This window comes from Homo sapiens, chromosome 4, assembly GCF_000001405.40.
Source record: "Homo sapiens chromosome 4, GRCh38.p14 Primary Assembly".
NCBI lineage: Eukaryota > Metazoa > Chordata > Mammalia > Primates > Hominidae > Homo > Homo sapiens.
The window spans coordinates 23,502,340-23,516,813 of NC_000004.12; the positions used below are offsets into that span (position 1 = coordinate 23,502,340).

Below are 14,474 nucleotides of genomic sequence, written 5' to 3' on the forward strand. Positions count from 1 at the left end.
TAATCTACTCAGTAACAAATAATGTAATCTTCAACATAACATTCTCTCTGAGAGAGTGCAAGGCAGACAATGGAGACAACAATTCAAAAACACTTTTCAAGTTGAAGTACAATCTTAACAATGGCAGTATTTTTGAGATATTTAGGTGGCTTTCACACCATCCTTTTTTTATGCCCCAAGGTGTAAGGGTACCAAATAAAGCAGTTTTCCAGATCTTATCAGTAGACCCAAAAGTAGAAATTAACTAGTAGTAAAAATCACTTATATTAAACCCCTTTCATTTGCATATATTTGCATATGAATACCTAATTGTTTTGAAGTAACAAGAGAACAATGGAGGAAAAAAAGGGGGCTTGAGGCTGCAACAGACACCTGGGAGACTGTATTTTAAAAGTCTATATTTTTACATATTTGATTTTATTTCTTAAATAAAGAGAAAGGTACTGAGTCATGCACACAAAGTACTACCAAAAGAATTAAAGTGTGAGAAAGTTTCAACCTAATGATGCTATTTTCTGATAGACACCTCTTTAATTCTTCCCACTTAAATCTTGAGTAACAAAGCCATGTAATGTGTATAGAAATCAAAATTCTACAGATAGTGCTAAAGGAATTTTTAAGATTCCCTTAACAAGCTCTTAAGTTGATAATGGCCTCTGTTTGAACTAGTATTTTTAAATAAGTAGTTGTGTAACATTCCTTTAGTATACAGAAAAGCCTGTACACTATCAGTAGGATCAGGTGGCCTTCCTTTCCTCTACTTTGTTGTCCTGAACAATTCAGCTCTGGCCCCAAATTAGCATCATCCACTCAGCAAAACAAATGCTCCGTATTTAACTCTTCTCATTCTTGTTACACTTTAGCAAACATCTGTGTCTTGAGCATGCTTTGTGGCATTTACTCCTACAATTGATTTTTTTCTTTTTTTTTTTTTTTTTTTTTTTGCCCACTTAACATTTATCCCTCTTCTGATAATAGCACCTTGATTTTTCTTTATACAACCTCATCTCACAGTCTCAGTGGCTTCTGATGAGACTCTCACTGCCAGCTCTAAGAATTGAGCCAAAAAAGGGAGGCATAGTTCAGAAATAGAGAGAAATAAATCAGAGTAAGATAAACATAAGAAAAAGGAGAAGAAAAAGACAAAGGGAAGAAGTGGGGCTGGGACACTGATGACATTGTTTGAGATCTTGGATCCAGTCATGCTTCAAACTATATTTTTCAGTTACACAAGCTAATTAATATTTGCTCTAACACACGCACACATGCACATATACATACATGCACACAGACATATTTTATTTATTTATATATTTATTTATTAGGATTTGCTTAAGCTGGTGTGATTTGAGTTCCTGTCATTTAAAATTAAAGATTGAAATTAGGCTTTACCAATACAGCCACTTACCAACTCAAAATATATTAGCAAAGTATTTCTTCTAGTTATTTATAGAATGTTCTTGAAAGGCATTGTGAAATCTGAATTAGTACATAAAATTTACTTCACTGGCTTTAATATAATATGTGCAAACCAATAAAAGGCAGCCTGTTCAAATTGCTTATATTTATTATGAGATTATTCAGTATTACTAACCAAAATAAAATTACTAAATGTGCGTAAATTAAACTTTTCTATTAATATACAACACACTTGTGTATTTTTACAGAGTCAGAATAAAAGGCCATGGAACCACAAACCTGTAGGTGAATGCACATCCATTAGCATTCCTGTAAGTACGTGTATTTGGTGGCTTTGCTGGAGTAACAAACTACCTCAAGATCTCAGTGTTATATGAAACAAAGGTATGTTTCTTGTTCATATTGCGTGTAGGCTTCAGGCCACCCGAGGGTCTGCTCCCATTGTGCTCTGCTCTATCAGTCTTCTCAGCTAGACTGCCAGGCTAAACAAGCAACCTCTATTTGGAAAGCACCATTCTCACAGCAGGAAGCAGAAGCAAGATTACCATGTCATCCTATTTAAAGCTTCTGCTCCAACAATGGCTTATATCATATTCACTTAAATTACACTAGACAAATTTAAGAACAGGACAGGAAAGTTCATGCCATCTACACAGCTGTACTGCCAATTACAAGGCAAAAGCAAGGATCTATAAGTGCTTACAAATATGAGTGTCAATGATTTTGAACAATAATATTACCTGACAAAATAGACATGTCCTGTCTTTACCTAGCTGCTTTCTAATACACTGCTGTGGCTTAAGGGTAGTACCCAGGCTTTCATTGCAATTTTAGAGTCACTAATGTAAGAATTTATCTTCAAGTTGTAGAATCAAAGAGGGAAAATTTCTCCTTTACCCTCTGAAGACTTAGTGAAAATGAATTTACGATAGTCAGATTAATAGGAGAAAAAGGCATACAAAATTGATCTAACAGGCAAGGAAGAAATATCACAGGAGAGTGAGTGCTCAATTTTTTTTAAAGAAAGAGAAACCCAAATTCCAGTTTTGTTTCAATGTACTTTTGATATTAAGGCTCAATATTAGAACCCTTTAATACATTTATTTAGCTTGAGTTCGTTTAACCATATAAGATTTTCTTTTACTGTCTTTTATTTTTCCAACTTTTTATATTCATTTGTTTTGCCTATAACAATTTTTCTCCACTTGTTCATTTTGAAACAATATTTAAGCATACTCTACACTAGACAAAATTAATTTTCCTTAAAATCCATATCTTCATGCATTCCTTGCAACCTTCCTCACCAAAAACACATCCCTGTATGCTCTATGTACAGAACTGTTTTTCTTATTTTTAGTAGTTTTAATTAACTACATTAATTAGAGCTTCAATTTTTAGCAATTGTAAACCAACATTCTGTAGACTTACGAACATCATTTTATAATTTATAAAAATGTATCTTTCTTAATGGAACTTTTTTTAAAAAAATTGGAATAGAACATATTTACTAACAGATCTAAATATATTTTGTTTCTTTGTAATAAGAAGCCAAAAGCAGATAAACTTAAACCTCCTGTTAATGTTTTAGTATCGTATATTACTTAGAAATAACCTAGAAATGTGATGAATATCTGTCATTAACTTAGCAAAACTAGAGGGGTATATTGCTAAAGTGACTTGGGAAATCTTTTAAGTAAGTATATTATAAGTATGATTATCCATGAAAAAAGTGTATTTATCAACTTCTATCCCATTTACATCTATTTGATTTATTAATCCTTAAGAATTATGCTTGGAAAATTTTTTTACTTTATTTTATTTCATTTATTTTGAATTTCTGTGGTTTTGGGTAAAAGTGGATTTGGTTACATGGATGAATTGTATAATGGTGAAGCCTGAGATTTTCGTGTACCAATCACCCAATGTACTATACATCATACCCAATATGTAGTTTATTAATCCCTCAGCCCCTTCCTACCCTCCTGACTTTTGAGTCTTCAATGTCCACTCTGCCACTCTGCATGCCTTTGCAGACCCACATCTTAGCTCTCACTTATAAGTGTGAACATGTAAGTTTTCCATTCCTAAGTTACTTATCTTAGAATAATGGCCTCTAGCTCTATCCAAGTTGCTGCAAAAGACAATATTTCATTCTTTCCTTATAGCTGAGTAGTATTCTATGTGTCTATATACCACGTTTTCTTTCTTTCTTTCTTTCTTTCTTTTGAGACAGAGTCTCACTCTGTCGCCAGGCTGGAGTGCAGTGGCACGATCTTGGCTCACTGCAACCTCTCGGGTTCCAGCGATTCTCCTGCCTCAGGCTCCCAAGTAGCTGAAACTACAGGCGCAAGCCACCATGCCCAACTAATTTTCGTATTTTTAGTAGAGACGGGGTTTCACCATGTTGGCCAGGATGGTCTCAATCTCTTGACCTCATGATCCGCCTGCCTCGGCCTCCCAAAGTGCTGGGATCACACGCGTGAGCAACCATGCCCGGCCTACATTTTCTTTATCTACACTTTGGCTGATGGAAACTTAGGTAGTTCCATATCCTTCCAACTGTAAATTGTGCTGTGATAAACATACGCATGCAGGTATTTTTTTTATAAGGACTTTTTTGGGGTGGTAGATACCCAGTAGTTGGATTGCTGGATTGAATGGTAGATCTGCTTTTAGTTACTTGAGAAATATTCACACTGTTTTCCATAGAGGTTGTACTAATTACATTCTCACGAGCAGCATATAGGCATTCCCTATTCACCATCCATGCCAACATATACTGATTTTTGACATTTTAATGATGGCCACTCTGGATGGGGCAAGGTGGTATCTCATTGTGGTTTTAATTTGCATTTCCCTGATGACTAGTGATGTTGAATATTTGTTCGTATGTTTCTTGGCCATTGTATATATTTTTGGAGAAGAAATTATTAATGTCATTTGCCCACTTCTTGATGGGATTATTGTTTTCAGATTTTTTTTTTCTGGCTTATTTGTTTGAGTTCCTTTTAGATTCTGGATATTAGTCCTTTGTTGGATGCATAGTTTGCAAATACTTTTTCCCATTCTGTGGGTTTTCTGTTTACTCTGATGATTATTTCTACTGTTGTACAGAAGCCTTTTAGTTTAATTAAATCCCATTTATGTATTTTTTGTTTTTGTTGCATTTGCTTTTCGGATCTTAGTTATGAATTCCTTGTCTAGGCCAATGTCCAGAAGAGTTTTTCCTAGGTTTTCTTCTAAATAGTTTTGGCTTCAGATCTTAGATTTAAGTCTTTAAGCCATCTTGAGTTAATTTTTGTATATGGTGAGAGAGAACAATCAAGTTTCATTCTTCTATATGTGGCTATCCAGTTTTCCCATATGTTTGAAAATTTTTATCAGACGTTAGACACAGTTTAGTCATCTCGTTTTTTTTCTGTTAATTATTATATAACACATGTATATCAGGCAGTTACCATCCAAACAAAAGCTACTGAGGTATTTTGCTGATAACTTAGAAGATAAATCTGTTTCTATTAAACCAACAATCTTTAACTCATCTAATTTCCTAAAGATTTATTTCAGTCAAATAAACTTTGAAAAGTATTTGGGCTTAATTATTTAATTCATACATGCTCATTTTATCTCTATGTCAATTTGGCACCATGTAGATAATATACAAACTCATGTATAGAAATAAACATGCACACACAATATGCAACACACATAGACGTGTGCATCCAAAAGCCAAATACATTAGGTTGCTCAATACAAAAAAAGAGCAAAATTTCAGACCTGAGATGAGCCCATCCATGTCTCTTTGAGACTCTATAAGGAAGGCACAAATCCCCAGTAAAGAGGTCAGTGGCACATTTTTTTGTGTGCCTCTATAGGTCTCAGGGTCACTAGAAGTCTCCTTTAGATCACTTCATGTGATAACCGAAGATCCGATGTTTTCTCTCAGTAATTTTTTCGCCATTAATCTTCAAATAAAAGAAGTAGGGGCTGACAAAGGTGGCAAAAAGAAGGAGAAGCAGAAGTAAATGGAAGAATGGGTCTTAAAGTAACCAGTTTCAGGAGATCTTAAGTTTCACAAAAAGGCCAATGAAGGTCTAGTTAGTAGAGGTTCAAGAAAAAGAAGTCCAGTTGACTGAAAAGTAGTTTAATGGGAGAAACAGGATTCAAAAGAGAAAAATCAGAGGCTTTACAAAATATTATAGCCTGGATTTTAGCTTTTAATTAAGCGACTTTTGACCATAGAACACTTAAAACATTTTATTATCAAGTTTTAGCCAAGCAAAGAGCAAACTTTTCCATTTACCAGTTTTTTTCCCCTGAAATTTGCACCTAGAAGGAGTTTTGGATGTTGGTAAGAATGGGTGGGCTTTGGAAGCAGCAGGTGTTCCCCTGGAACCAAGGGATTGGAGTGGGCTGTAAATGGGGCAGCATCTTTCCCACTGCCTGGGAGGAACCTGCTGCTGACTTGCTCAGAGATTAGGCTCAGGGCAGAGGCAGGAGGCCTGTCTCTCTGGCCCAGTCTGTGGCTAGTCACAAGGGTCTCTCCTACCCACTCCTAAGAAAGACCACATAAAAATCAAATGAACAAAGATGAGAAAGACAGGGCAAAAAGAGCTTCCAGAGTAAGATTTCTGTTTTTGTCTCAACTGGCTCCTTTGTTTCTGAGTACATAGTTCCATTTTTACCTCAGGAGAGAAGGCTAAACAAACAAACAAAAAAGTTTCTATCATGCTCTGAATATAAACCAAAGGAGTATATCAACAATGACCTATAAATCAAAACAAATATTCACATACAAGACCAAAGCCCAGAAGCCCTTTGTGATTTTAGCCAGTCTCCAAAGAAGAACAAACTGAAGCCCTTCTAAGATCCAGACCTCAAGACAGCTTAAAGGAAGGAAAGTTTTAGTAGGCACAGATGGGGTACAACACACATTTCTATCCAGCCATATCCTCAGGGATTCCATCCTTTGAGTTAGTCATGTGCATAGAGCTGCCTGACAACCAACGTGCCCCTAATCCATGAAAAACTAAGAGATGAAGAGTTGGTAAGACAAACAGGCAAAAGATTTTCATGGGAATGAAACAATTACTAGTCAAATGGGTACCCCAAAGACTCAAGAGTCATACAAATATAAATTCAAAAAGATTTTTACAAATAACTCCAATTAACTCTCATAAATGTTTCTCTCCTGAGCCAAACAAGTTTATGTCTCTAAGGTAATTGTTCCCTGACCAGGTATTGACCCTAGGCAAAAACGTTGACCGTGCAAATCTTAATCACTGGACCACAGACTGAAACATCTTCTAGCAAATCTCACAGAAAATTCAAAACAAGCAATTGGAGCGTTCAAAAAAATTAAAATTATTTTAAATCTGATTTTTGCTTTTCAATCTTGCTAATGAATTTTTTGAAGTAGATATTATATTTCTGTTGTAACTTTTTATAGATACATATCGGACAGCTATTTGAAAGAAAAATTTCTTTTAAAAGAAAAATTTAAAATATTTAAAATGTATATTTTATATAAATTAAATATTTAAAATTTAAAATATTTAAAAGAAAAATTTCTTTTAAATGCAGTCAATTTAGTCCAAAGGTGACTCAAGCCAATAAGCCTTTCTCATAGAAAAGCCTGAACAAATTACTGATATTGGTAATTTGTATATTTTCACTTTTTGTTCTCAGTCTTGCTAGATGTTTGTCAATTTTATTAATCTTTTCAAATAATTAGTTCTTGGTTTTACTAAATTTTCTATGTTTTAATATTTTCAAGCTCATTAATTTCTGCTTTTGTGTTTATTATTCTTTTCCATTGTTTACTTGGGTTTATTTTGTCCTTTTTAAGGCTCTTTTAGTTTTGTTTTTGCTTCTGGCTTTTGTTTGCCTGGTTTTGCTTAGTATGTTTTTGATGAAGGAGCCAGGGTTGTTTTAATTATTGATTTGAAACTGCTTTTTTTACCTAATTTTTGAATTTGGTTCTATAAATATTCTTCTTAGCACTGCTTTAGCTGTGTCTAACATATTTTAATAAGCTTTATTTTCTTTCAATTAAATATCCTTTTTACAATTTTTCTTGAGACTACCTTTTGACTCATGGATTATTTACAAATACACTATTTAGCTTCCAGATGTTTGGAGACTTTCTGCAATAATTCTCTTATTGATTCCTAATTTAATTCCATTGTGGTAAGAAAACACCTTCTGTATAATTTCAGTTAGTTTAAATTTACAAGATTTATTTCATGGCCCTGGATACAACCTACCATGGAATGTGGTTCGTAAGCACTTGAAAATGAGTGTATTTTGCTGTTGCTTCTTTAAAAATATTGAGTAAATACTGTTGGTTGATGGTATTGTTGAGTTCTTCTATATCCCTGCTAATTTCTGCCTAGTTTGTCTATAAATTTTTGAGAGAGGGGTGTTGAGGTCTCTAAGTATAATAATGAATGTCTGTTTTTTGTGTCAGTTCTGTCAGTTTCTGCCTCACACATTTTACCGCTCTGTTGTTTTGCTTGGTGTGTGTACATTTAAGATTACTGTCTTTTTTGTAGGCTTTAACTTTTATCAGTGCATAGATCCTACTGTCTTTCCAGTAATTTTTTATACGCTGAAGACTACTTTTTCTGTTATTAGTATAGCCACTTCTGATTTCCTTTGACTGTCTGAACGATACATCTGTTTTTTAAACAGTTGGACCATTTTGCCAATTTTTGTCTTTTAATTCGTGTAATTACATCATTTACATTTAATGTAATTATTAATATGTTAAGCCTGCAATTTTATTTTTAGTTGCTGTTTGTTCTTTCAGCTTCTTGTTTCTTTGTTTTCTTTTTCCTGCCTTTCTGATTCACTCGAAGTTTGTTAGAATTCTATTGAGATTTAGCAGAAGTGCTTTTTTTATATTAAAATATTATAGATAAATTATATAGAAAACTTTATGTAGCTATTGCAGTGGTTATTCTAGACATTACATTGTGTGTGTGTGTGTGTGTGTGTGCATGTATGTGCCTGTCTATGGTGTTCTATCACAGTCTACTGGTGACATTATTTTATTATTCAAAAAATCATAATAATTATATCTCTCTTTAGTTCTCTTTGACCTCCCCTAGTTATAATATAGTTGTCTTAAATATTTCCTCTGCATATATTTATAACCACATTATAAACTGTTATAATTTTTGCTTCAACTACCAAAAAAATTAGAAAGCTTGAGAAGAAGGAATTGCTATTATATTTTTCCATTTTTTCTTGCCTTATTATCTCCTCTTCCCTGATCTTAAAGGGTTTCTTATTTTTACAGTTTCTTAATGTTTAAAGAAACTTCCTCTAACCATTAATTTAGAATAGGTCTGAGACTAGACACATTCATTTTATTTTTTTTTCTCATTTTAGAATATCTTTACTTCCTCTTCATTCCTGAAGAATTTTTTTTTTTTTTTTGCTGGGTATAGATTTCTGGGTTGACAATTAGTTTCTTCCAACCTGTGATTCATCTGGCTTCCATCATTTTTTATGATAAACAGCTTTTACTCTAATTGCCATTTTTCTAAAGGTAATGTGTCATTTTCCTGTGGCCACTCTCAAGATATTTTGCCCTTAGTTTTCAAAAGTTTAATTACAATGTATCATTGCATGGATTTCTTTTTTTTTTTTTCTGCTTTGTGTTCACTCATCTTTGATCTGTAGATTTAAGTCTTTTGAACAAATTTGGGAAGCTTTCAGTCATTATTTATTGGTATAGTTTTTCAGCCTTGTCCTCTTATCTTCTTCTGGAACTCCAATGGCATGAAAGTTAGATCATTTATGATAGTCACACAGTTTCTCAGGATTACCTCATTTTTTTTTAGTCTACCTTTTCTTTGTTGTTCATATTGGGTAGCTTCTATTATTCTATCTTCCAGCCAACTGATTATTTTATCTGCCCTATCCATATTGCTACTAAGCTCCTCCACTGTACTTTTCATTTTAAAAATTTTATTTTTCAGTTATAAACTTATTTTATAAGTTTTATTTCTTTATTGAGACTTTCTCTTTTCAATTTATTTTAAGAGTATTCATAATTACTCATTAAAGCAGTTTTATGATAGCTGCTTTATAATCTTTGTCAGAAAATTTTAACATTTCTGTTATGTCAGTGTTGCCATCTTTGATTGTCTTTTTTTCATTCAGTTTGAGATCTTACTGCTTTTTGGTATGACAAACTATTTTTAACAGACACCTGGAAATTTTTGTGTTACAAAATTTTCAATCTTATTAAACCTTCTATTTTAGCTGGCTTTCTTTTATATAACTCTGATAAGGAAAGAGGAAGGCATCACCATAGAGGTAGAATTTCAACTTGGTACCCAGCCTTCATTGGCATAGAAGTTAGGTAAGTTTCCTCATTACTCCTAGACAGAAGTAGGGGATTTGACTCCCATTTTGTCTCCACTGACAGCACTGGGGGTGCCCTTGTCACCACTGGGTGATGGTGAATGATCACACTCTACATTAGGTCTCCTTGACACCACCCAACTAGAGAATGAGAACATTATTGCCAGGCACAAGTAGAAGTCCAGGCTCCCACATGACATGCACTAACACGGTGAATGAGGAGCTCATTACTGGCCAGCAGGGATTGCAATCCTGGCTTTCTACATGACCTTCAACACCAGCCCAGCAGGGGCATTGGGATTTTGGTAATAGCCTTGAGTGAGTGGGTCCCTAGTCAGCCTTTGCTGGTAGGATGGGATGAGAGCTTTAGCTAAAATAGAGCAGCTTTTTTTTTCCAAAAATTTTTCATCTTCCTAGGCTGCCTGTTTCTAGTTCTTTGTCTAGGGCTTTAGTTGGAAATTTTGACATCTGTGCAAATTTGTGTTTTTAGTTTACTGGCTTCATTAGATCTAGGTCAGGATATATGAGGCAAAAGGAAAACCCAGGTAACTGATCACCATGTTATACTTTAGGTCCTAAGATTCTTGGCCAATCAGCCATCTTCTCTTGTATCTTTCAAAGATGTCTTATGTTTGTTTTACATATAATGTCCACTATTCTTAGTTGTATTTAGCATGATGATGAGGGAAGTATGTCTACTTCATCTTTTGGAAGCAGAAGTCAAATTAGAAAACTTTAAAACAATGATTGTACTTATAGTTCTTTATTTTTTAAATTGGTTTCTTTTTTTTCTGAAAACTCAATAGTCCAGTTCATGTGAAAGATTTCCCAGGAAATAACAGAATTACTAAAAGAATATTTGCTACTGTGATTATACAAATGAATGCATTCAAAATGTGCTTAAAATATTATCATCTATTCAATCTCCAATTCCCAAAGACCCAGAAGATGAATAATGTATGTATGCTTTCAGTTAATACACAGGGGCAGTGCTTGAGCCAGACACATGTAGCACAATCTTGGGATAGAGGTTAAGACCAAGTAAAACATGGTAGTCACAGGTAGGCAGACAGACTTGGGAGGAGAACAGGCTTGCCAATAGTCTTTTAATTTCATTTAGTCTCACTTCATCTTTACAGTAGCCCTAGGAGTCAGGTACTATTATTGATTGCAATCTTATAGAAGGGGAAAGAGAAGCTTAAGAATTAAACAATTTTTCCAAGTTTTCAGAACTTATAAATAAAGGAGACATTGTTCAAAACTTGTGTGTCTGACTCTAATTAATGTCTAGACTCTTAACTATTAGAGATTAGAGATGCTCAGATACAGTGACTCTAGTATTAGTATTTCAGACTGGGGGATACAGCAATAATATTCAAGAATTATAATGATCTCTAATATCAATTTTAAATGATTCTGCTAAGGGAGGGATTCAAAAAGTAGCTGTGGGTTTTCAACAGATGTACTGAGCCTCAATAAGTGAGATTCTAGCACAAATACAGTGCAGTTGTTTGCTGAGAAGCATGACAGCAGCATCAGAAAAATAGGCAAGGAGAGGAAAGCCTTAGTTTATGGACTAAGGTCAGAGTAAAAAATTCTGGACCTGTTTGAAAGAATGTAATGGAGATCTAAGAAGTGGTCATGGAACTCACAGGGAGAGGGGAAGCCTGCCCAAGTGACTGTAACATTGACTAATAATCAATAATCATGTTGATAATGATGACTACCAGTTAATGAGTGCCTGCCATATGCCAAGGACTAGGCTAGATACTTAAATTTATGTTTCAGTAATTGCAACATACTACAAAAGCTTAGGCTTGAATTAAGTGCACTGGGTTTCCTTTATCATAATGGAATACCCTAAAAGGATATACTTGAGATTACATCATTCAGCATCAAAGGCCTTAGAGCCCTTATTAGGAAAAACAACATTATAAGAAATTCATGAATAAGAGAATGGGCATTTTTTTAAGTTTTCTTTTATTTTTATTTTTTAATTTTATTATTATTATTATTATTTCTTTTTTTGAGATGGAGTCTCGCTCTGTCGCCCAGGCTGGAGTGCAGTGGCACTATCTCAGCTCACTGCAAGCTCTGCCTCCCGGGCTCACGCTGTTCTCCCGCCTCAGCCTCCCAAGTAGCTGGGAGTACAGGCACCCACCACCACGCCCGGGTAATTTTTTTGTATTTTTAGTAGAGACGGGGTTTCACCGTGTTAGCCAGAATGGTCTCAATCTCCTAACCTCGTGATCCGCCCGCCTCAGCCTCCCAAAGTGCTGGGATTACAGGCGTAAGCCACCGCCCCCGGCCTTTATTTTTATTTTTGGGGGGTACATAGTTGGTGTATATACTTACGGGGTACATAAAATATTTTGATATGGGCATGTAATGCACAATAGTCACATCGTAGAAAATGTGGTATCCATCCCCTTAAGCATTTATCCTTTGTGTTACAAACAATCCAATTATACACTTTTAGTAATTTTTAAATGTACAATGAAATTATTAGTGACCATAATCACTCTGATGTGCTATCAAATACTAGGTCTTATTCATTCTTTTTTTTAAATTTCAAAATGTTTATTGAACAGAAATGTAAACATAAGCCCTGACGAAAGCAACATGACAAACTTTATATGTAAAATATAATTTTACCCTAATTAATATATTTATTTTGTGTTCATGGTTTACAAAATGACTGATCTTTCCCTTCTATCCCTTTGTACTTGTGTGTATCTAGCAGAAAAGTTCTTAGTCTGGCTATGGGCACACAGAAAGTTCCTACTGATGATTATATTCAAATGTTTATTTACTTTCCCCAGAATAAACTAGGGGACTGGCACTGTCTGGATCCATTACAGGAAAGATATTCAGGAAGCTCTGATCATCTTGAGTTTCACGTTTATGAGCAAAAAATGGACGCAGCGGCTCCCTAACAGAAATTTTGTTGAATGTGTAGATATGGCACCCATCACTAACATCATAAAAAGAAATGAACCTCATACCTATATCCAGGAAAATCCCCACTCTGTGCAAGTGTGGACTCACCCAGAAAATAGTCAAAGGCATAGTGCTGGCAGCAAAGACCTTTACTTTGCTGGAACCCACAGTCCAGAAGCCGAGTTCTGAAGAAAGTACAATTCTTTATTACTTATTCTTTCTTTCTAACTATTTTTTGTACTCGTTAACCATGCCCAGCTCACTCCCACCCCCATATACCCCCGCTACCCTTCCCAGCCTCTGGTAACCATCCTTTTATTCTCTGTGTCCATGGGTTCAATTGTTTTGATTTTTAGGTCCCACAAATGAATGAGAGCATGTAGTCTGTCTTTTTGTGCTTGGCTTATTTCACCTAACATAATGACCTCCAGTTCCATTCATGTTGTTGCAAATTACAGAATCTCAATTTTTATGACTGAATAGTACTCTGTTGTATATATGTATCACATTTTCTTTATCCACTTAGATGTTGATGGACACTTAGGTTGCTTCCAAATCTTGGCTATTGTGAAGGGTGCTGAAACAAACATGAGAGTGCAGATATCTCTTTGATATGCTGATTTCCTTTATTTTGGGTATATAGCCAGCAGTGGGATTACTGGATTGTATGGTAGCTCTATTTTTAGGGTTTTTTGTTTTTTTTTGTTTTTTTGTTTTTTGGTACTAATTTACATTCCCACCAACAGTGTACAAGCATTTCCTGTTCTACACATCCTCTCCAGCATTTGCTATTGTCTGTCTTTTGGATAAAAGCCATTTTACGCCAGGCACGGTGGCTCACACCTGTAATTCCAGCACTTTGGGAGGCCGAGGCAAGCAGATCATGAGGTCAGGAGATCGAGACCCTCCTGGCCAACATGGTGAAACCCTGTCTCTACTAAAAATACAAAAATTAGCCAGGCGTGGTGGTGCATGCCTGTAGTCCCAGCTACTCGGGATGCTGAGGCAGGAGAATTGCTTGAACCTGGGAGGTGGAGATTGCAGTGAGCTGATATCCCGCCACTGCACTCTGGCCTGGCAACAGAGTGAGACTCCATCTCAGGAAAAAAAAAAAAAAAAAAAAGCGATTTTAGGTGGGGTAAAATGATATCCAATTGTAGTTTTGATTTGCATTTCTCTGATAATCAGATTATTAATGATGTTGAGCACCTTTTCATATGTCTGTTTGCCATTTGTATGTCTTTGAGAAATGTCTATTCAAATCTTTTGCCCATTTTTTAAATCAGATTATTGGATTTTTTCCCTGTAGTTTAAGCTCCTTAATTATTCTGGTTATTAATCCCATGTCAGATGAGTAGCTTGCAAATTTTTTCTCCCATTCTGTGTCTTGTCTCTTCACTTTGTTGATTGATTCCTTTGCTGTGCAGAAGCTTTTTAACTTGATGAGATCCCATTTGTCCATTTTTGCTTTGGTTTCCTGTTCTGGCAGGGTATTACTCAAGAAATTATTTCCTAGTTGAAAGTCCTGGAGAGTCTCCCCAATGTTTTCCTGTAGTGGTTTCATAATTTGAGGTCTTAGATTTAAACCTTTAATCCATTTTGATTTGATTTTTGTATATGGTGAAAGATAGGGGTCTAGTTTCATTCTTACGTATATAGATATCCAGTTTTCCAAGCACAATTTTTTAAAGAGGCTATCTTTTCCCCAGTGTATGTTCTTGGGAATGTATATTCCTCAC

The 14,474-nt window shown here is 35.0% G+C and overlaps 1 long non-coding RNA gene and 1 pseudogene across 1 annotated transcript in view; one reads left to right on the forward strand and one right to left on the reverse strand.

Moving 5' to 3' along the window:
* Positions 1 to 2,498, forward strand: part of LOC105374524 (uncharacterized) — a 507,306-nt gene extending 504,808 nt beyond the window's left edge. Inside the window, exon 19 of the long non-coding RNA XR_007058437.1 lies at positions 1,668 to 2,498. This is a non-coding gene — a long non-coding RNA (uncharacterized LOC105374524). The remainder of the gene's footprint in view (positions 1 to 1,667) is intronic.
* Positions 12,605 to 12,937, reverse strand: RFPL4AP3 (ret finger protein like 4A pseudogene 3; annotated as a pseudogene).